The following is a 23324-nucleotide window of genomic DNA, read 5'->3' as shown; positions in this document are numbered from 1 at the left end:
ATAGGTATATATGTATGTATATGTATGTATATGTATATGTATATGTATATGTATATGTATATGTATATGTATATGTATATATATCTATCCTATTGCTTGCAAACCTCAGAGGTGAAGGTAGAAAGCTTACACAAGAAAAGTCTGCTCCTAAAACTGTAGACAGTTGGGGACCAGGTTTCAGCTCCTGACTCCCATGACCTCTGGGATTTTGGTAGTGCAGCCTGTCAGAAATAGCAAAGGGGCTGTTTTTCCTTTCCCTGGGGGGAAAGGATGAGGAGAATGACTATCTGCCTGGAGCTTCTCCTGAATACTACCTACAGTAGACACTCTTACTGATGAATGGCAGTATTTTAGAACTTTTGCATATGTTACTGGCTTAAGATGAGAAGACTACCACAAAGGGAGGGCATGAGTACCTTTAAGCGGGGAAATGAGAAAGTAACATCCTTTCAAAGATCAACGGAAGACACCTATGGTTGCCACTAGTGCAATTCCAGAATATATAGATCACCCCTCTTGGGTACACAGCAAACTGAATGTCCTGGTTCCTTATAGTCGGGTTAGGCTATGGTGTTGGTTCTACCTAATGAGTCATGAGTTTGAGTGAGGTATGTCCTTTCTGGCTGCAGTATTTAGTTACTAGTGTGAGCCCCACTACTTTCCCTTCCCCTTACTACAAAGATTGTAGAAGCACACGATGAAATCTCTGTCAGCTTGTTCCTGAGTTGCCACCATGAGCAGAAGCTCCCCTGATGACCTGCATTAGATGCGCAATGTGAGAAGGAAATAAACATTTTTGGGGGGTCAAGTCACTGGGATTTTGGGATTGTCACAATAGCAGCACCTAACCTTTCCTGACTCATTATCTAATACTAAATTGGGTATTTCCAAGTAGTTAGCCATTGTCTGGTGGTGTGATGGGGCAGCCACTTTTATTTATTGGAGAGGAAGGTGGAGGTTTCACTTTCTTCACGAAAGGATTTACATACTTCTCCATGGAGAGTGTATCAGGGTGGGATTTCTCGAGGCCTGGCCCATACCAACCTAGAGTAACAAGAGGGTTTTTGATTAGGTGAAAAATGTTATGCTCCGAGAGGCAGACCAACAGTAGCAATAGAAAGGTGTGTTTGTGTGGTGGCCATGGAGTTGTGTGTCTTTCAGCTCTCCAGTAAGAGAATCTGCTATTGGAGGCATTGTTACTTATCAGCTACAACTGTACTTGTGTGGAGGCCATGCTTCCCCTGGGGCTGCTCCCATCCAGTGGCTGAGAGGAGCAGGGATGACATTGCTGGCCTGTTCCCAGCCTGTGCAGGACCAGAGAGCACAAGTAACTGCATGAGCAGATGGCTTTGACCCCTACACTGCTTATCACAGTTGTACCAGCGCCCCTTCCCCACTTTGTACCTGTGACCACATGGGGGAGCCCTTTATGACCAGCTGTAGGAGGGAAAGGGCCCTAGCTGGTTTATAAATGAGCTGGTTCAGTCTGTGTGTACAAGCTGAAAATGGACGGCACTGCATGTCAGGCACACCTGGGGGTGGTCTTGAAAGAGAGTGGCAAGGGAAAATCTTCCCCTTAATGGGTAGAGCTTTGAGCACCTAGCCTGGGGTCAGAATGGGCTGGCTAGCTGGTCAGGGGCCAGGGAGAGACAGGACTAGAAGAGGCTCCCAAATGAACAAAGTCTTGTCCAAGGGCACACAGAGTGCTTCTGAGAGAAGCGGGTGGGGAGGAGTTGGTGCGTGGAGAGCTGGGGTCCATAATCTCCAATAAATTTTTAACCTCCTTTCCCAACCCAGAGTGATACTGGAGGGAGACTTCCTAAGAAGCTGGCGTATTTCTACTCCCTTTTGTTTCTCTTTGAGAACACTACCTTGGAAGATATTACTTCTTTTAAGTTCTTTCCTCCAACCCTTTTGTTTTGTTTTGAGACAGTCTTGCTCTGTTTCCCAGGCTGGAGTGCAGTGGCACGATTATGGCTTACTGCAGCCTTGACTTGCGGGCTCAAGTCGGGGCTCTCCCCCTATAAAATTGAACGAAACTTCTACCTTGTATTTTGGCACCACAGTGGCCTGTTCTGTTTTAAAAGTTTTGTTTTAGAAGATTAAGAATGGCTTCTGCAAAAATCAAAACTAATTTAAACTGTGCTGTTGCTAATTCCCCTCGGCTTGAAAACCATGGCTTCCACTGTCCTGGGGTATGAAGAGGTCTATGTGAAAAGCGGTGGGAAGGCCATGGGAAGTGAGTGATGGAAGCCAGAGGTTTCCTGGGCCCAGACAGCTGTCCTGCTCAATATCTTCTAATCCAACAGAGAGGAAACACGATGACCTGGTAGAGTACTTGTTATTATATTTATTTATTTTTCTTTTAGCTATTTACAAAATTTTATTTCAGTATATTTTTCAGAAGCATAATTTTACGTTTCTTCATATTTTACTTTGTTAAAGTCCAGACCAGTCAAGGTCCTTTTCATGCAAAGATGTACATTTAATGAGGACAAAGAAGCCACCCAGTCACCTGGTGAAGCTCTGCTGCTTTGTGCCCCTTTTTGGGTCAGGTCGTCCAGGACATCCAGGTCTTGGTCTTTCTCCTCTTTTCTTGATTTTCACTGCCTGGGCCCAGCATCACTTCCAAAGACCTCCGTTTGTTTGATTTTACTGTATTTAATCTGCTTCACAGAATGTTACCGACTTGGCTGACCTCTGAAGAATCCCCCGGTACTGCCCTATGTCAGGCACCACAGCCAGCTGTGCTAAATTCGGGCACCTTTAGCTCTGCTGACTACTGACCCTGGGCATGCAGTCCGGCCGGCGAGATAGTGAGTGCAAAGTCTCACACAAATTGAGTCAATAGAAGTGACCCTGAACAACTGGGCTATTTCATAATTTAAGTTTATCAAAGAGAGACTTTAACATCCTCTCCCTCCCTCCCCTGAAAACCCAACACTGATAATATAGATTTTATATTGATCACAGGACACTACACAACAAACACAAAGACACTACACTTCTAGTAGGACGAGTCACGATTTCCTTTGATGTTGGGCTATGGAATAGCTAGAAAGTTACTGCTCATCACCACAGCAGGGTACCATGCGAGTGGATAGCTTAATAAATGCATTCATTAGTTAATGGCTTTAAGGGTTAGCTATTATATATATGGAATGAGGAAACCTCATTAGGAATGGCCACAGTCTCAGCAAAACTCAGCTCTAAATATGCAAAGACTTTGAAGTCCTGCTATTAACAAGATGACATGAATTGTAAGAATACATTTGACAGGCTCTAGTAAGACCCAGCAGATCGTCCATGACCTGTGCAAAGGCACCCCACAGTGGCAGATGGAACTGGCAAGAACTTGGTAGGAAACGTGTCACACATCCCCACAATAAAATGATACTTCAGAAAGACAGACAGGGGTGTCCTTCCCATGATAGTGGCAAAGAAGGGATCCTGGGTCGGGGAAGTCGATGGGAAGGAAAGAAATGGAAGGTGGGTAGAAGAGTAAAATAGGGGTTGTTGCATCCCAGATGCTGCCCAAGCTCCAAACTACCAAGCATTCTGCACTTCCAGAGTTACCTGGTGTGAGGTGAGGAGAGGGATGGGATGGAGGCAGCTTGCTGGACAGGGGGTGACTGCAGGCTGGGGAGGGGCTGGGAAGGGGTTGGGGACAGCTGAGGACTCAAATGACACAGAGGACAGACCACATACAAGACTCAACAAGGGGAGATCTGGCAACGTGCAGGCTAAAATGACCAAATCCATAGCAAACTCAGAAGGTTCACGTTCCCGAAAGGGTGTCACTGCCAAATCTCCACCTCATTTTGACACTTAACCTACAGAGTATGAGTCGCAGTAGAGTTCAACTGCTCTCATTGCAGCACGTCAGGGCAAGATATCCTTTTTAAGGTATAGTATTATATCTAGCTATATGGATCTATAGAGATATTTACAACTGGCCTCGCTGCCCTTCCTCTGTGCTGTGAAGCCTTCATGTGCATTGCTTCCAGACAAATCTTAAAACCCTCCTTTTCTTCACACTGCTCCAATCTCCCTTTATGACTTTATCCCAAATGAACTGCTTGCCACCACAGGGTTGAAAGCACCTCCAGGGTGCTGGAGACCCAAATCCACGTCAACCAACCAATGCTTAGGCTCCAGGAAGCCAGCCTTTCAATAGCCACATTGGGAGCTTCAGACATGGAGTCACTGCTCTCCCCTCCACCTGAATCTCTGTATGGGGTATCCAAAAATAAAGAGGCAATTTTAGCTCTTCCAGTGGTAACTTTCTTGTTTTCAACTGTCGTACAAGATTTGTGTGTGTGTATGTGTATGTGACTGTACAAGTGTCTATTCTCAATGCCTCTTTCAGCCTCACTCCCCAGCCTGTTACCCCGAAACATGTTCCTCTAGGACAAAGTGAAATGCTCTGTACTTGCAGCTTCTTCCATGGATTAACCACTTCCTACCTCAAGGCACTAGCTCACCACTTCTTAGGACTACATTCACTTCCCCAGTCTTCTATCTAGGAGACAGCACAGATGGATGGAGGGACAGGGCAAACAGTGGAAGGGAACTGGGAGATGCTGCTCCCTGGAACAGGAAGTTGGAAAGAAACAGTCAGTTAAGCAGCCCGGCCAAATAGGGCCCCTCCACCATATGGGAGCAGGCCAAGGGAATTATAGTGGTTCTAGAAGGGTCACCAACAGGGAATACATATGCTTTCAGGGGTATTTCCTTTCACACCCATTCAAATCAGATAAACATAGATATGCAGACATGCCCTTATATACATGCACTCAGCATAGACCCATGTGTACACAAGCATACACATACATAAGCCACACTTTCACAGGGATGTGCACACACACGCATGCATCCACATGCTGTAGATACAATTCTGTACACACCAATGTAGATTTACACCACTAGACACGGCACTATGCAGCTTCTCAAATGGTTGTATATGTACATACACCCACCCTGCTGCATATGCATACACCCAGGTATATACAGAAACACAAACACAGAAGCACAGTTAAAGGGTGAGTGGGTAGAGGGGTAAGGGACTGAGGGAGAGACTGCATAGGGAGGAAGAGGTGGCATATGTTGAGTGCTCGGCAAAGTTCACTCCCTCACAACCTCCATCAGTGAGGTGGAGCTGCTTGGCAAGTTGGAATGCTGGCCAATCCTACTTCCGTTAGGGGCCCTGCTCAGTGGGCAGAGTGTGTTCTCCATCTGCTCACGTCACGCTCATTGGCTGGTCACCAGCCTATTCCTGCAGAGATGCCCCAGGTGCTAGAGGATGTGGTGGGGGCCCTCTGGAGCACCCTCTTTAGGGAGGGAAGAAAAGGAAATGCCTCAGTTGGGACAGTCAGGAGGAAAAAGACAAGAAAGAGCAAGTGGGGTGGATCTACCACTCACTGGCTGCATGTCCTCAAGCATGCGGCATAAGCTCCATTCGTTTTCCTTGGAACACTGGGGACAATGTGCTTTGCCTTCCCTGGCTTACAGGGCTCCTGTGAGGCTCCAGTGATGTAATGGGTCAGGGAGCTTGTTGACACTTACTATGCACTAGACAAATAGAAAGGATTAGTATATAGACTTACGATAGATATTCATCTGCTAGTCTAGATCAGATGGTAAAATAGCAAGTGTGAATTATCCTAACCTTAGTGCTTATTCACCAAGTGCTGTAACTGGTGATCAACTCAGCAACTGACGGAAAGCTAACTCCTGACTTAGACAGATGTATTGAGTCTCTATTGCCAAGCGTTCTGAAGCAGAAATATAGGCAAGTTCCAATCCCTCCGAAGAGGCCAGCTCAACTGTGTAATTTCCAACCTGACATCACCCCCCACCCTCTGCCAACCCCACAAGCTGAGTATGTGCTCTCTCACCCTGATGTCTCACTCTGCAGCCCCATCCACCCACATTCCCCTTCCACGCTTGCATCAAAACACCACAGTCAAATGCCATACAGTGGGGGAAAGGCACTTACAAATGCTCCCTAAGTTTCCTATAGGAAGTTCCCTGAACTTCTAAGCCATGGCTAGCCCTTTAGCTATGAACCCCAGCCCAACCCAGCTTGACTTTCTTCTATAAAGCCCTAAGCAGAGGGTGAACAAGACCCATAATCCCTAGGAGGAAACAAAAAAAGAAGAAAACATGTAATGAAAAAGAAATGTTGACACCTCAAGGGGGACAGAAAAGCCCCCCAGAAATGTTTGTGGGCAAAAGGCCCAGATCCTTGCCCCATCCCCCAACCTGGCTCTTCTCTGTCCTCTAAACATTTCCAGGGGCTTTTCTATGCTTATTCCTTGTTACAAGTCTTTGAAAAGGTGAGAGTCTTCTAGCAGGAAAGGAAATCCATGTGCTGTATACCTCCAACTCCTCCTCAATCCCTTCCCTTCCAGCTAGAACATGTTCTTTCCAATTACTCCCCACCTCATGTTTATAAAGAGAAGTATGAACTTATTGGATTGCCCAAATAACCACAAAATAAAAGGAACAAAGGAAAGAGGGAAAAACAAACCCAAAAGAAACTGAAAGGAGCACAGCACAGTGCTCCCGCTGTTCTGGAGCACTGGGGGACTAATACATATGGTATACCCAGTAAACAATGTTGAACAACCCAAAGGCCAGAGGGAAGAGGAACCGGGACCACTTGTCGACCTTTGGGACGTAGTCAGGATTAAAGAGATCGAAGGAGAACCCTTCAGTGAAGGAGCACCCAGGGCTTGGGGGGCAACTATCCTCAGACTCTGAGCTACTGTCCTTCTCTTGGCCATGGGCCATGAGCTCATCATCATTAAGGCCCCAGGTACTGTTAGTATCACACTTGAATTGCTCCTTAATGGCAAGGCAGTCGCTCTTGTCATTGTTGTCATCAAGGTCCCAGCCTGCTTCTTGCACACCCTTCTCGCCATGGTGAAGCATGGGCTTCCCACTGGGGCCATGGCCATGGCGCTCATCCGAGCTCAAGCTCTCATTGGAATCTTCATGGTCATGGGTAACACCATGGCCATGGGCTTCGACACGGTTGCGGATTTCGGTAGGAATAATACTGTCATCAGCCTGGAAACCATTAAAGCGAACACCATAGCTGTGCCGGGCCTGCTCTGAGGTGGAGGGGAGATCGCTCAGGCTTTCTCCAGTGGCCAGGGGGGCCTGGCCTGAGAGAGAAGTGAGTGGGCTGAGGCTTTCCGAGGTGGCCAGCTGGGCCTGCTCGGAGGTGGACGTCAAAGAACCGAGGCTTTCCGGGCTTGCCAGGGGGGCCTGCGCTGGGGTGATGGGGAGAGAGCTGACTCCGTCTTCCACGTTAATCAGGCCATCCTTTGAGGAGATAATGGATAGGCTCATCAGTTTCATATCGCCTAGATGGATATGCACTGGGGGGAGGGAGGAGGGAAGGGACTTCCCTCATCAGCACTTGTAATGTTACTGATCTCTTTGACAGATAGAGCCAGCTCCTCTTGGGGTCTCTGGTGTTCAAGGGGTGAGGAACAGGACCAATCGGCTGTTAGCATGCAAGGGAAGGCTATGGAGGCTGCCAAGCCAGTGTCTCGCTGGAGGCAGCTGCTCCCTCAGGAGTGCTGTGTGGTGGATGGATGCCTGCTCAGGCAGGCAGGACCGGGCTTTCTGCGAAGGAGGGAGGTAGCTGGGCATTAACATACTGCCCACAGCAAAAGCCTCAGCATTGCCTTGGGAGTCTGAAGTGCCAAGGAAGGAGGGGTAGGTAGGCCAGCCTCTCCGGTGTCTGTCTTCCTTTCAGTCTCCCTGCGCCCATCTTCCCTTCCAGCTTCATTGCCTGCTCTGGAAGCATGCAAAGTGGACCAAATTCAGTCCAAAGGTCTGGAGAAATTTAGCTCTGCCACTTACTTGCCTTGTGACCTTGGACAATGATCATCTATAAAGGAGTGATGAGAAATAGTACTACTTCTTTGTTATATGTTGTGTGTGTGTGTTTTGCGTGTGCGCGCATGTGTGGGTGCGCGTATTTAAAAAGCTAAGAAATGCAAAAGGGTCAAAAGCGCTAAGCCTGGGCTCAAGAGGTGCTCAGGGAAAGCTGATTGTCAGTCAAAAAGTCAAACCTGCACGTTTCCTACCACCACTTGCTGGTAGCGGTAGCGGGCAATGACTCTTCGGGGTCTCCTGTGTCGCCTAGGCTGGCGCCGAGGTCCTCGACTGTAGAAAAGATAGTTGATGTAGACATACTCCAGCAAGGACAGGAACACAAAGAACAAGCACACGAGGATATAGATATCAATGGCCTTGATACAGGAAATGTTGGGGAGCTTATCCCGCAGATGTGAGTCGATGGTGGTCAGGATGAGCATTGAAGTTAAGCCTGTAAGCAACACAGTACAGACTTAGTCTCCTCTGATGGCTAACGTTCTTGGCAACCTGTCAGGCCCCCACCCAAACATATTTGGGGTGAGGAGGGCCCACAGCAAAGGCCTTCGGCTCTCTCTTTATTCCTTTTCCCCCATCTTTAAACTCAGCCCACGCTTCACTGGTTCAATGACTTCTTATTGCTCTTAGCGTCAAGTCTCAAACCTCTAGCCGTGGCTTCATGGCAATTGACATCTTCAGCCCCACCTTGGCCTATGATGGCTCCTTTCCCTTTTGCCTTTCTTTAGTTCTTGGGAAGGTTTTCTGAGCCCTAAACTATTACACAAATATAAAGCTTTAGTCCAGAACGTTCTCCTAAAGAGGGAGGCTGAGGAGTCTGCCCCACAGATGGTGAAGGAGAAACCAGACCTGGATCTGGGACACATTGACATTCTGCTGGATGGGGCCAGACAAACCAGGGAGTTGATCTCTTAGGTCTCTTCTTGGTACTGCTCAAAAATTTTTCATGGCTCCCCATGCTTAGACATAAAGTACAAGGTCTTCCTAAGCCTGACCAGGATGTCTTTGTGCTGCTCTCCTCATCTCCTCAGCTCCTGTCCCAGACACCCTGTGATTTAGCCCCCTTTTAATGGCCCCTATGGTCTAAACTTATGACTCGTCCGTTTACTTATGGATTCAAGAAATAATGAATTCTGGTACTCGGGGCTCAACGGGCCAAGATTCCAACCTTGATTTTTTTTCACATCTGTCTCTAATATCGGTCTCTCTATTGGGGATTGGCTGTGCACCTGTACAAAGGTGCAAATGTCTATTGGAAAAATCCTTATTTCCTTGCCTGTGTAGTTAGTCACACACTGTTCTGGGTACTTTTTCCTTACTCTCAACTTTTTTTCTGAGCCAAATGACCCAAATTCTTTCCTGGGACAGAGACAGAACCTACCAATTGTCACCCTGGCTGCAGAGGAATCATAGTTCATCCAAAACGATATCCAAGAGGTAATAGTGGTGAGGACAGTAGGCCAGTAGACTTGCACAAGGTAGCTGTTAACTTCCCTCTGAACCTGGAACTTCAGTATCAGGCGTATGTAGGAACCTGGCAAGGAGACACACTGGAATTAGGGTGGCAGGGCTGAGGCGCATTTGCAGGGTGGAGAGGTACAGGATGGAGAAGGAGGGGAGAGCAATGGGAAGTTCAGCTTGTAATACTCCATCCAGAGGCATCCAGCTTGGGCAGACTGCACTAGCAGATCAGTGACAGTGGCATATCTCAGTAGGCGCATGAGCATAGCAAGTCTGCTCTCTCCACTTTCCTTTCTCACTTGCTCCATGTTAGGTGAAGTTTTGGAATGGGAGAGGCAAGAGATGTTCCCAAGGTACAAACAGATGGAGGGTGAAAGGCCAGCCCTGAGAGGAGCATGAATCTTTTACACCTGCAGAGTGTTGTGAACCTGGCTAAGTGCTTCCACGGCCATTCCTCATTGGCGGTGGATGAGTCATTGGGGCTTTCTTAAGGGGGCCTGGAACCAGTAGGAAGTGGAAAAGGAGGCACCAGAGAATAGGAGCCAAAATCAGAGGCCGCTAGGAGTTTATGGAGGTGCAAGGCAGACATGAGACAGGAGAGAAGGAAGGGGTCAGACCCACCTGTGTAGAAATACACCTCCTTGCTAGTAATCGTCCTTCCCAGGAAAGTGAACTGAGGGATATGCAGCTCCTCAGTCATGTGGATGGCGTTCCCATTGTCATCCCAGAATAATATGATGTCTTCAACCGTGTAACCATCTGGGAAGGAGAGAAACAGAGGTAGTCTCAGATTCTTAGAAAGAAAGAAAAGCACAAAAAAGACATGCTACAAGCTCCTACCCACTAACTTGCACACACTTTCCCAACAGTAAGGTGACATTTTCCCAGAGGACCGTTTATGCTCTAAAGACCACCTAGTCCCAGATGCTGTATTTATACATCTATCTGTCAATAAATTATCTATCACCTATCTATCTCTCCACCATCTTTCTCTCTTTATTTCTATCATCTGTCTATCCTCTATCGTCTATTTATTTTGGGAGAGAGAATGGGGGGAGGGAGGGAGCACAGGAGATACACTGGCCCTTTTACTGTCAATTCAGCCTCTGCTTCCCTGATCACCACAGCCCCAAGTACGGAAGAAGGGGCCATAGGAGACATACGTACAGCTCTCTACCACCAGGTTGCAGGCCTGCTTGTCCATAGGGAATTTATGCAGATCCAGGGAACAAGCTGCTGTAGTGGTGAGTCTGCAAAGGAAAACAAAAAGGAAGGAGAAAGTGAGTGAAGCCTAGGCAAACAACCATTGCTGAGGAAACTGCAGGGGTGGGGAGGGAAGAGTTATCCCAAGGACTGACCCATGTGTAGAGAGGAGAGAGGAAATTTGTTTGTGACAAAGTAACCAAGAGACCTGGCAGCACATAAACAGAGAACACACGTATGGCACCTCAGAAAACTGCAGGGTGTCAGATGGGAAGGGCCCCGGAGGAAACTGAATGCAGAGACGGAAAGGGGTGCTTCCTACAGAAGGAGTGAGGCTAGCAAGAGAAAACTGTGTGCTACGCCAAATCAGCTGAGACTCCAGATGCAATGTGGAGTGCTGGTGTCAAGTGTGCATGTACAGCTGGGAGCCTCCATCCAGGCCTGCCTCTGGCCACATCTGTACACAAGCCAGAGGTGCAGGCCTATGTGGGTATTGGGGACTAGCAAAATGTCATTGGGTGCGAAATGGACAGAAGGGATAAACATATCTGTGGTGAGCCATGGCACTGTTGACAGTACACGAAGTGGGCAGGAGCTTTAAGTTGCAATGTGGTGAGTGCATCCATAAGAAGAATCCGGCCGGGCGCGGTGGCTCACACCTGTCATCCCAGCACTTTGGGAGGCCGAGGCAGGCGGATCAGGTCAGGAGATGGAGACCATCCTGGCTAACACAGTGAAGCCCTGTCTCTACTAAAAATACAAAAAATTAGCTGGGTGTGGCGGCACTCACCTGTATTCCCAGCTACTGGGGAGGCTGAGGCAGGAGAATTGCTTGAACCCGGGAGGCGGAGGTTGCAGTGAGCCGACATTGTGCCACTTACTGCACTCCAGCCTGGGCAACAGAGTGAGACTCCATCTCAAAAAAAAAAAAATAAAAATAAAAAAAAGAAGAAGAATCTGAGGGGTCTCAGAGGTGCTGAGAAAGTGGGCGAAGTGTCCAGTGGGAGAGAAGATAACACACAAGCTCTCTACAGCCTCCCCTGGGAGGCTCTGCTCCATCCCTTATTCTGCCCTTCTTATCTGCTAACCCCAGCTGAGTCCCTTTCAATTGCTTCCTTGAAATAATTTCCATTTTGTACACTGGATATGGTGTGCGCGTGCACGTGTGAGTGCATGTGTGTTTTTCTCCCTTCTATGAATCCTCCATGCAGCATTATTCAGCTAATTCTCCCTTTAAGTAGAACAAGTGTGACCAGTGACCTGTTCCCTGTGAGTCTTGTTATTTCCCGATTTCAGAGCCTGGGTCTGTGGGAAGGTGGATGGAAAAAGGAAGGAATGGAGCAAGAGCTCCACGGAGAAAGAGAAACCCAGAGATTAGATCTGTAAAAACCGTAAGAGCCAAACCCTGGTAACTACTTCTCAGACACATTTTCTGAGCTAAACTGATCTCTTACACACGTCTTTGGAGACAGTTTGTAAGAGATGCCGCTGTGAGGAGAAACTTGGTGACTGTCTCCTATGCTATAACTAGACTAGTGAGGAGGTTCAGCTTGCAATTGCTCCGTGTGTGTGGAGAGCCATAGACCAGAGACCCATGCCACACACACCCTGCCCCTCCGCACTCCTGGAGGCCCTGCATGATGCAAATATGACTGAAGGCAGAAAGCAGGCCCCCTCGTTCACTGCATGGACTTCAGCATTCATCTTCTCCCTCCCTCACTGCACAGAGAGAAAAGACAAAGATAAAGAACAGAATGCATGCAACACTAGGGTGGAGGGAGAGGTCTTTCAGTTGAGGGAATCAAGGAGGACTTCCTGACCAAGGGGGCATTTGAGTTAGGGATTTCAGGGTGGGCAAGGTTTCAGCTCATGGAAAGGGGGAAAGGACTGACCAATCCAGACAGAAGGAACAGCAGAAACCAAGGTGTGGGGACAGAACAGCTAAGGGTGTCTGTGGGAAACTGTGAAATTTCCACTTTGGCTACTGGGTAGAACGAGTGAAGGGGGAAGTTCAAGACGGGTTTGGAAAGCAGTGGGTGCCTTTGTGTGTCCCTTAGAGTGTGTTTGTAGAATATTCAGTAGGAAGAAGGAAGTCTGCTGGGACATCCCCAGACCCCTAGGGGACTCACCGGATGCCGTACCGCACCGTTCCATCTGGGTGAAGCTGAAACACGCGATTCTCCACAGTCACATCATGCACGAAAGCATCCTTGCTGTTCAGAAAGTAGCAGTCAGGGACCCACAACTTCTCATGCATCCGATAGTCCAGGGTCAAGTTCAGGGTGGTCTCATAGTATGCTAAGCGTGAATCTTTCCAAGTCTGATGAAAAAACATCGTGATCGTGTAGTCCTGGGAAGACAAATGTAAATCCCAGTTGTAAGTTTGGTTGTCCAGAGCTCCATCCTTGGTGTGTGTAGGGTGTGTGTGTATGTGTGCATGCACTTGTGTATGCAAGTGTATGAAGTATATCATAACTATATACAAGTGCGTGAAACATACGGAGGTTTAAAGAAAGAATAAAATGAATCTTGTGTAATTAGAATCCAGGTTAAGAAACAGAATATTACCAATAACTTTCAAACCCCAATGTATGTCTTCCAGAATATATTTCCCTCACACCCCCAGCAGTAACCATTATCCGAGTTTTTATGATAATTCCCTTGCTTTGTGTGAGAGTTTTATTGTCTATGTATTGCTGGAAAACATATTGCTTAGTTGGACCTGTTTTTAAAATTTTATCTGAATGAAATAATACTGTATGTATTCATAATTTGCTTCTTTCACTCAACATTATCTTTGTGAGATTCACTCAGGTGGACATGTGTAATTATAATTTGTTCACTTGCTTTTCTGGATAATATACGAATATACCACGCAGATTATCATATGAACATGCATACCAAAACCATGATGAAATAAAAATGATGAAGTAGAAGTTCCACTTTATATCCCTGCCGAAAGCCAAGCGCCAAAAAGCTGCAGAGGGTTCCCAGTGCTTTGGCTTCACCAACATTGGTATTGTCTGACTTTGGACTTTTGCTAATTTGGTATGTAATGGGTTCTCATTCAGGTTTTATTTTGCACTACTAACAAGGCTAACCGTCTTTTCATATGTTTCATATATTTACCTGCTGTTTAATTTTCTTACAGAAGTGATATTCTTGTTCATATTTTCTGATAATTTTTCTATCGGTTTCAAAATATTCTTATTAATTCACAAAATGATGCATATTTTGAATATGTCCTTCATGCTGCAAGCATCTTAGTCCACTGTGATTGATCCTTTCACACTTGTTATAATGGTTTTGTTTTGTAAAACAGGAGTTCTGTAAATTTGGTTACACAGAATTTCAATATAGTTGAAGGTACCAGATTTATTTTGTGTGGTCTGTGTTTTCTGTGTCTTTTTAAAGAAATCCTACTGCAAGACATAAAGCCAGTGTTCTACACTATCTTTTAAAAGCTTAATAAGCCTTTCACTTTTAAGTCTATAATCCATCTGGAGCCGAGTTTCTGGATGTGGTGTGGTGTAGGGGTTGAATTAATGTAGTTTTTATTCTGAATGGCTGCAGTGTCCCAAACCTACCTTGTTCCTTTATGTGAGTTCTGTCACAGGTCAGAACAACTGGACTTGGATTATAAGCCTGCTGCTTGTTCCATGTCCTCTGTTCCCAACCCCATGGCTGGAAATAACACACTTACCATATTCATTTCTGAGATCTGTTCAATGCTCGTGACATAAATAGATATTCTCACAGGCACAGGGGCACCTAGAAGACAGAAAGACACAGTTACACGAAAGGTAGAATAAAGGTTAAGAGCATAAACTTGGGAGCCAGGCTGCCTGGGTTTGAACCCTCTTTGAAACTTGTTAGTTGTGTGATCCTGAGTAAGTCACCTAACCCTGCTGAGTCTTAATCTCCTCATGGGTAAAATGGGGATAGTGATAGCACTGATCTCATAGTTAGAGCAAGGCCTCGCCCACGATGTGTGCAAAGGAAGGGGTCAGGGCAAAATAAAGAGAACGTTAAGGGATGAAGCACTCCTTCTAAACATTTTCCTGATAAAACCTGAAAAGCAACGAGCCCCAAAGCAGGAGCCAAGATTCATGGCTGTGTGTGCACATGTTTGTGTGTGTGAGTGAATGTGTGTGTTTGTGGGAGCACATGTGTGTCTGTGTGTAAGTGATTGTGTGAGCTGTGTATATGAGTGTATGTGAGCATGTTCATGCATGTGAGTGAATTTGTGTGTTCATGTTCAGGTGAATGTGCCAGTGTGTGTCATCATGTTTGTGTATAAGTGAATGTGTGAGCATGTTTGTGTGCTTGAGTGTGTTGTACAGAAGTAAATCTGTGAGCATGTGAATGTGTGTAGGTGTGTTGTGTGGGAGTGTATGATTGTGTTTGTGTTCAAGTGAGGGTATGACCGTGCATGTTTGTGAGCTTGTCTGTGTGTGAGAGTGAATGTGTGAACATATATACATATGAGTTTATGTGAGGATGCCTGTGTGGGAATATGTGAGTGTGGTTTTGTGGGACTGAACATATGAGCATGTCCATAAGTATGAGTGTGTTCGTGAGGAGGTGTGAATGTGTGAGTGTGTGCGTGTATTACAGTATGTGAGCCTGTTCATGTGTTAGTGGATTTGTGAGTATGTCCATGTGTGAGTGAACACCTGCGCATGTTCATGTCTGTGAACTAGCTGTGTTGATGTAAGTGTACATGAGCGTGTTTGTGTATTGTGTGATGTGTCCACCTGCACTGGCATACTACACATGTATATGGAAGACTGTATTAGCATGTTCGTGTATGTGAGAATGCTCATGTGTGGGTGAATGCAAGAGTATGTGTGTAAGCATGTTAATGTCCATGTACCTATCAATGTAGATGTGCATATTTTCAGCAGGTGAGTGAATCTGTGAGTATATTGTGAACACGTTCATGTGTGTGAGTGAATATGCGAGTGCTTTCATGTATGTGAGCACGCCCATGCATAAGTGAAAGTGTGGTTATGTTTATGTGTGTATGTGTGAGCATGTGTTTGTGTGTGAGGATGTTAATATGTGTCGTTTTTGAGTGAATTTGTGAGTGTGTTTGTGTATGTGGGCCTATTTGTGTGTGGGTGAATGTGAGTATATTCATATGTGTATGTAGATGTGGGAGCGTGTTTGTGGGTATGTGTGTTAATGTGTGAGTGAATTTGAGCGTGGTCTCGTATATAACGTGTGTAGTAAATGTGTGAGCATGTTTGCACGTGTGAGCATGTTAAAGTGTGTGAATAAATTCGTGAAGGTGTTTGGATGTGTGAGCATGTTTGTGTGAGTGAATGTGCATGTGTGTTAAAGTGAATAAATTTGCATGTGTGTGTGAGCATGTTTGAGTTTGAGTGAACGCGTGCATATGTGCATGTGTGGATGTGGACTTGTGAGTGTGTTTGGTGTATGTGAGCATGCTAATGTGTGAGACTAAGTGAATGTGTGATCATGCTCAGTGGGTGTGTCTATGTGTGAGAATGAAATTGTGAGCATGTTCATGTGAGGGGGTGAGTGCACAGGAGAGGGTAATTGTGTGTGTTAATGTGTGAGTGTGACAGTGTGTGAATGTTTGTGTTAGTGCACTTCTGCCTCCTAGCTTTTGTTCACACCCAGGTGTTAGCACTGTCCACTTGCAGTACTCAAATGTGTTCATGGATGTGAAAATATGTAGTACACTACACTGTAAGGCACTGTGGGCAAATCCGTTTTTATCGTTCGCTCCTCATCTCAAAGCTTTCTACAGCCAGTCCCACAGCAAAGCCCTTAGTCTCCATGTATTACATCACACTGCTGCTAGGGAAACATGCATGACGCCTGCAATTCAGCCTGCTGGTTTTACTGCAGGCTGATTGCCCAGAAGCTGAGCTGCAAAGAGAGAAATGTGTTATTCCAAGCCCAAAGCTTCACAAAGGAAAGCTCTATTGGGAATAAGCATCTGAATGGCAGCCGTGAAGTAAATGAGCCTCTGTGTTGGGGTACAGCCCAGACTCCAGCATCCAGGCCTGTTGTGAAGAAGCCCCAGAAAAGTGTTACGTGGTGACAGGAGTTCCAAGAAACACAGTTCTTGATGGCCGCCTTTCGGGCTCCCCACATGCCTTTAGAGAAGGGAAGCTGTGTTAGGCAGGCAACAAGCTCCAGAGGGGCCAGCCAGCTACACCTCAGTGTTAGACTTCTCTAGACCATTCCGCATGATTCAGGCAACTCCTTTCCTTATGGTGGAATGCTGGCGACCCCGAAGGGCTAGGCCAGAAACCTGTCCAAGGACTCCTAGTTGAAGGGAAAGTGGGAGCTGAAATGCAGTTCACATTCCCCTCACCAAGCCATGAGTCCTGGCACAGGGATGCAGCTCAGAGGAAGGGGACATTCTTCTAATTTATCCCCTTTGTGCTAGTAGTTGTCAGGATGAGAATTTAGATGAGGAATCCCATATCCCTAAACAGATAATGGGGGTGGGGAGGGGATGAGAAACGTCCTGATAAGGAGTCCAAATACCATGTCTAGGATGGTGGCCCCAGCCCATCACTGTCCCACCCTGCCCCCTCAGGAAGGCAGGCAAAGTGGTAGGGGTAATCACCTCCCTTTCTCCTGGAACCTTTCCTGCCTCAACTGTACTTCCTATCTAGCAGATGAATGAAGGAATGAAAATATCTCCTTCATTCCTTCACAATATCGGGTGCCTAAATCATGCCAGGTGCTAAGCTAGGTGAGGCCCTCAAGGGCGGCCTTTTGCCACAATGCAGAGTCCCAGTTCTCTTGCCTAGAAGGAATTGGCTTTGTTAATTTTCTCTGGATCCTCCTCCTCCTTTTCATCCTCCTCCTCTTCTCACTGTCCCCCGTATGCAAGGAAGGAATAAGGCTCCTGTTTGAACTGGGCCACAGTTAAGTGAGGCCTCTGCATGTGGAGGATGTGTGGGGAAGTGAGGGGAAGTATGCCCTGAAACTCTACTCCACCTCTCACACAGAGGGGAATTTGACGCTGTGTCTAGTGGGGGAGTCCTGGAGTCCCCAGGCGCTGACTGCCTTGGCCCAGCTATCCCATCAACTGGTCTCTCTTCCCACACGCACCATGCAACAGCCTCAGACCTAGAGCCTGTGGTGCCCCCTTCTGTTTAAATGCTAGAAGGTCCTGAGTTGTCCTTGCCCTCCTACCTTCATCGGTTTGGCTAAATCAAGCCAGGGATCCAGCTTTTCTCACACGCTGCAGGTGTGCACGTCCACAAAGCTTAGGGTAACCCTCCCCAGAGATTGATTCTTGCCCCTGCTCCCTCCCCCGGTCCTGGATGCCTGCAGAGATGTCAACCTGGCCCTGAAACAGTGGGGAGAAGGTGATTGGTGTACTCAAATGGTTGTTGGTCAGTCTCTGCTGAGAAACGTGAGAAAGGCAAGACAAAAAAACGAAGTAGCTACTCCCACGTCACCCATTGGTGCTTGGTGCAACTGATCCAAAAGATTCCAAAGTCGCTGCCATACAAGGACGTGCTGCCTGTACTCTAACACCTGGATTCCCATATGGCCAGACCTTTATCCCTTGGGGATCCACCCAGAAGACACGCTGCTGTTTTGCAATGAAAGAGCCTGCCTTCTGGCCTGTCTACCCTGGCTTCCCAGTATGCTCTCAGCTTTAATCCCTTGGGCTGTGCCTTCTGCTCTCACACTTCGGAGGGAGCAAGGGAGCTAAGGGGAAGCACCAGTTCAGGGTCCCACCTCCAAAGCTTAGGGCCCAGGACTACCACCTTGCTTTTCAAGGTGGCGCTCCCCAGGCCAAACTGGTCTACCGCAAGGGCCGAATCCTCTCAGCTGTGTTTTCTTGGGGTGGAGCCAGAGTGTATTTGGAAGACCTCTATTCATATGCATAAATGCAGATCATTAGCTTTCATTAACCCTTTGGAGTGGGAGCTTCCTTTGAGCTGGAATGTAACTAACCTCTTTTTTAATGGACTGTTTCTTTTGTTTGCCCTTGATCTAGGTTTCCTAGGTGTCCCCTGGGCTAGAGAATGCTGCGTTTGCTACGCCGGGTCAGGGTAGGTTGCCTGTCACTTAAAGCTGTGTGGTCCAGGCTAGTCGCCCTTTTTAAATGGGAGGCTAATTACAAAAATGGGGGAGGAACTGATGTATGATTTTCCTGGGGGTTTGTGTGTCAGCTTCTTTGTCGTTTCTAATCTCAGCAGCAGAGATCTGAGGACTAGGCTGAGGAGTTTGGATTTTATTTGGCAGTTAGATAAAACCATTAAAAGTTCCTGAGGTGATCCGGCTGGGTTTAGAAAGACCACACTGACTGCGGTGTCTTATATAAACTGAGAATGAGGGAGCTGAGGTGGAAGTGCCCAGGGCCTCGGTGGGTTAAGTACACTAGACAGAAAAGACCGTGCTCTCAGTTTGGAACTAGCTGAATGGGACAAGTGCCCAGGGTGTGAAGAATGTGCTCAAGTAGAAGAATATGTGTCCTCCCAGGAGCTGGAGCAGAAAACTCTAGCCTGAGGAACACAGCGCGCCGCATCCTGTACACCCATTTCTGTGCTTAGCTCTTTGCCAGCCACACCTTTGTAAGGGGAGTGTGGAGGAGGGAGAAGGCTCTCGTGCATCTGAAGGCAGAGAAGTGAGAGATATTACAGGGTGCAGAAGGCCTGGGGGTGCTTCCTTGCTGGTCTCTGCAGAGTCAGGAAGGTGGGATCTGGAGAGGCACAGGTGTAGAGCCCGCAGGATACCACTGGTCAGCTTACAGGGCAGGGCTGGCTTGCTGTGTCTCAGCTCTAGGACACCTAACCCAAGTTCTCTAGTGTCTGGATATGCCTTACCTCCAAAATTCGGTCTCAGGCGGACATCGTATCTTGACAGCACCCTGTCCAAAATCTTTTGAACCACAGCTTCATTTGCACAATTTTTGCTGAAACAGAGAAGTCATAAGTAAATGCCGGTTGACTTGGGGCCCGCTTGCCAGTGGTTGCCTTGCTAGGGCCTTCTCTTCTCCAGCACATACGCAGACATGTCCAGTCATACGTGTACACACTCTCTCTCCCTGCTCCCCTCCCTCCCCATGGTGAGTCAGCCAGAAGCGCAGCGGTGACGCAGACTCCTCTTTCCTCCCCCCCCCACCTTCCCAGCTTTAATCCAGAGGGTGGGGCTCAGAGACTGGATCCCTGTTACCAGGCAGGACTTGTAGGGGTTGACGAGAGGAGGCGGTAGGAGAAGGGGAGACGAAGAAGAGTGGGCAGATGAAAGCCCTCAGAAAAATGCATTACTTCAGCCCCTTCAAGAGCCCCATCTTGCAATCAGCCTCGACGCTGTTTTCTAGGTTGGTGGGGGTCCTCCTGCCAGGGGCACCTGATTGCCCCAGGAAAAGTCATCTTTTGCTCTCAGTGCCCTAGTAAGATGAGCTCAAAGTTTCATTTCCCCTTACCTGGGCTAGGGCTGGGCATTTTTTAGTCACTTTTATGTCAACCTTGTTTCTGCACAACTCTGTTTTCCAGACTTGGCATATGGCATAAGACACACAGAGAGAGCCTTGCTGGTGTAGCTGAGATTTACGACCCTCATCCAACCAAACCATTTCAGATTCTTGGGGCTCAGAGCTCTCATCGGAAAGACATCTATTCTGGGAGCAGGTATATCTCTTGCTGAGCATGTGCTTCCACCCTGGAGGTGTCTTGGGTGAGCATAGGTAAGTGGACTCAGCCCAGCTCTGTGGAGAGCTGGCTTTTCCAGAGATCTCTGACACGCTCACCCAATTCACCTAGACCTTCAACAGGGCTCCTTCCCCAACAGGGCTTGCGAATCAGAACAGGCCCCGGCATCACTGTGACTCTTCAAATCTTTGACGCATTGCCCAGGGAACGTCAGCCCCTGCAAATGTGTGTGTTTGTGTGTGTGTGTGTGTGTGTGTGTGCGCACGCGCATGTGTGCATGTTCAGTGGCGCAGTATGGTATGTTGGGTTAAGGGCACTGCAGGGCTGTCTGCTGGAACCTTGCCAAACACCCCCCCCCCCTTTATGAGTACATGTTAATTTCTGGCTTGCCATTTAAACATTGTTAAAAATTATTCCTAATCATCTTTAATCAAAAATTTCATTTTGCAGCATCCCAAAATGTGCACATGAATTATTCCCAAATTAAAGCAATGCATTCCCACCTGTTTCCAAGCACACATTACCCATGTGCCAACGCTCAGGATCTGTGGCCACCCCAAATACACATTTCTGTGTGATTTACATGTAAAGGCTTCAGATACTCGCACACCCAAACAAACTTAAAATCAAAAAGAGAAAAAAACCGGAGTCTTCAAATATTTTCACACGACTAAGTACAAAAGCACACCCATCCCAGACCACACGGTTCGTGTTTATTCAGACACGATCGCACTGTCTGGGCTCCGATGGGTTTGAGTTAATCATTTCTATCTGCCGCATTGGAAAGAGTCCCTCATCCCCTCAACACATGCATGCACGCGCGCGCGCCTCAGGAAATGGACTAAAATGTAGACTCAAACAGGTGTCTCTCCTGTCTATGTTTTGTGAATTGCCCGTCATCCTGTACCCTCCTCCCCAATCCCACAGGTGCCAAAGCTGGGGAAAGCTGCCGGGAACCTTAAATCCTTGGGGATGGATGGACAGATCCTGGGACGAGGGCGACCCCCGCCCCCACCCCTCGGGCTGCGGTTTAGGCACACGCAGGGCTCAGTCAAGCTCCGCAGTAACAGGTGGGCGGAAGCACAGGGCTCCATTTCAACACCCCACTCCCACCTTACCCCTTCTAGGGGCCAACAGGCAGGGCCCGGGCGCCAGGGCTCAGCGAGCCCGGGTCCGAGTACCCCCCAGCCCGAGTCGCCCCCAGCCCGCTCCGTCCAAGAGGCCAGAGGTCGTCTGCCCGTCTCCATTCCCGTCCCCGCCGTGCCTAGCCTGGCGGTGCCCGCTTACCAGTTGAAGAGGTTCAGGACGACTTCGGGCACAGCAGAGGAGAACTCGAAGTGGAATTTCGGGATGGGACTGGGGTAGTTGCCCTCCGCGAGCCAGGTCCTGATGAGCAGCAGGATCACTGCGGCTCGCAGCATGCCTCGGATGCCCATGGCCGGGGCGTTCTGGGCGCCTGAGGGCGCGGGAGACGGGGCCGCGAAAAGGAACAGAGGTGGGGTGGGAGAGTGGGTGACTACTGGGGCCGGGGAAGGCGGGATTGCTGGCCCTTCCCCAAAGAGTCGCCTCTAAGGAGAGAGCAGCGAGGGCAAGGGAAGTAGGGGGTGCGGGGGTCGGCCCGGATACCGGAGATGAGAGCCCGGGAGGAGCAACCACCCAGCAGCTCTGCTGGACGCAGCTCCCCCCAGGGCCCGCCCGGCAGCTGCGAGGTGCGCTCCGTCTGCGGCCGCTCCTGGCTGCGACTGGGCACAGATCCCAGCTCGCTGCTGGCTCCGCCCACTCCGACGGCATCGCAGGCCCAGCCAATCGGACAGCTGCCAGGAGCCGCACAAAAAGGCGCGCGCTCCTGCCTCCGCCCGTAGCCTGCGCGCCGCCCGGCCCCCGCCCCTTCAGGCTTCTGCAGTCATCCCCCGGCCATCTCCAGACACAGGCAGGGCGGGGCCGGGCTGGGGGAGGGGGAGGAGGGCTGGCTCCTTGGGGGCTGGGCCAGGAATCCGCCTCAAGGGGCACTGGGTCCTGTCTCTTCTCTGCAAAATGCGAAATGTGTGTTTTTCTTGGAAGAAAGGGCCTGTGCCCGAGAGTTGTATTTGATGGTGAAGGGAGTGTGGTAATTTGACCGCCATGGCTGAATCTGCATTCTGAAAGACTTGGACAATTTTGGGCGTCAGGAGGTACCCAACGGCTGGTGACTCCGTACCCTTGAGCCTCCAGTAACCCCGCGTGCCTTGTCTCTGGATAAGGTCAAGGAGGATCCTAATGGGTTTTGTTACAGGGCTCTGGCCACAGCAGGACTGCTCCTCCCTCAGGATGGACATTGGGCTACAGGAGCCCAAGAGTTGCTTAAGACTTAAATTTCCTAGAGTGCTCTTCACCCCAACTTTGGGTACTCAGGAAAAAGACTCAAGGAACTGGAAGGGCTCACCAACTGGGGTCTCTCTGAGATGTGGTTGTGTCTCATCAGCCAGGGGATGCAGAATGAAGGTTCATGGCTGACACCATAGAAGGGGAAAAAAAGGCCAAGGTCAGTGTTTGGGGTGTTCAAGGGAGTTAGGCACTGGAGACCAGGGTATGCCAATGTTCCTGGGTTCTGACCCCATCATATGGAAAAGCCTGACATCTTGACTAGAGGGCTCTTATTCTTTCCACTACCTCAGACTCTGCCCCTATGGGACAGAAAAATCGTGGAGGATAAGAAATGCCTCCACCCAATTTCCTATGTCCTTCCTATCCCATGACAAAGCAAGTTCAGAAAGCTTAGAAAGTGGCCTCACCAGAGCCCATAGGGCAAATGGGTAATCAACAAACAGAGCTGCCATGTTCACCGGCATGCCACCTCCCACATCACACCATTGAGAAGAGTTGAAATCAAAACGGATTTCAGGTTTACTTTTGGTTACCTAGAACATTCACTGAGAAACACAACATCTCCCCCTTTTTTTCCCCTCAGTATTTGATGAAATGAGTTGAGATTGCTGGTGCCCAGCAAAGCATGACTTACCTGGTAGGCCAAGCAGTTTTGCACAGCTGAGGGTTTAACTCTTTTACCACTCCCCCTTTAAAATCATTTTAGAACCATACTTTTATGAAAAA

At 48.3% G+C, this 23324-nt stretch overlaps 1 protein-coding gene and 1 long non-coding RNA gene across 5 annotated transcripts in view; one reads left to right on the top strand and one right to left on the bottom strand.

The window, feature by feature from the left end:
• MAGEA3-DT (MAGEA3 divergent transcript) overlaps positions 1-23324 on the top strand; it is a 144351-nt gene that overhangs the window by 38855 nt on the left and 82172 nt on the right. The window contains exon 3 of one of the 3 annotated variants that reach the window (XR_938525.3): positions 20079-20269. The exons of 1 other annotated variant lie outside the window; for it this stretch is intronic. This is a non-coding gene — a long non-coding RNA (MAGEA3 divergent transcript). The remainder of the gene's footprint in view (positions 1-20078; positions 20270-23324) is intronic. One more of the 3 variants, XR_001755975.2, reaches the window with a different exon arrangement.
• Positions 908-21978, bottom strand: GABRQ (gamma-aminobutyric acid type A receptor subunit theta). Of its 2 annotated transcripts, none has more exons than XM_011531184.4 (9): positions 21522-21978; positions 19407-19495; positions 14279-14346; positions 12705-12925; positions 10540-10622; positions 9994-10131; positions 9293-9445; positions 8091-8347; positions 908-1044 (listed from the first exon to the last, which is right to left on the bottom strand). In XM_011531184.4, the coding sequence occupies exons 1-9, from the start codon at positions 21668-21670 to the stop codon at positions 982-984; spliced, it is 1221 nt and encodes a 406-aa protein (XP_011529486.1). In that variant the 5' UTR covers positions 21671-21978; the 3' UTR covers positions 908-981. The 2 variants fall into 2 exon arrangements, with proteins under 2 accessions (XP_011529486.1, NP_061028.3); NM_018558.4 differs by lacking the exon at positions 908-1044 and adding an exon at positions 2331-7332.

This window comes from Homo sapiens, chromosome X (assembly GCF_000001405.40).
Source record: "Homo sapiens chromosome X, GRCh38.p14 Primary Assembly".
Classification (NCBI taxonomy): domain Eukaryota; kingdom Metazoa; phylum Chordata; class Mammalia; order Primates; family Hominidae; genus Homo; species Homo sapiens.
The sequence above is the reverse complement of the archived record's forward strand: the minus strand, read 5'-3'. Positions and strand labels throughout refer to the sequence as shown.

Excerpts from the sequence above, each read along its gene's own strand:
- GABRQ (NM_018558.4), bottom strand. The coding sequence starts at position 21,670 with ATGGGCATCCGAGGCATGCTGCGAGCCGCAGTGATCCTGCTGCTCATC. Across the intron at positions 14,347-19,406 it reads CCTGAGACCGAATTTTGGAG|GTGCCCCTGTGCCTGTGAGA; the intron begins GTAAGGCATATC and ends TCTGTCTTCTAG. Across the intron at positions 10,132-10,539 it reads CAACCTGGTGGTAGAGAGCT|ATGGTTACACGGTTGAAGAC; the intron begins GTACGTATGTCT and ends TCTCCTTCCCAG.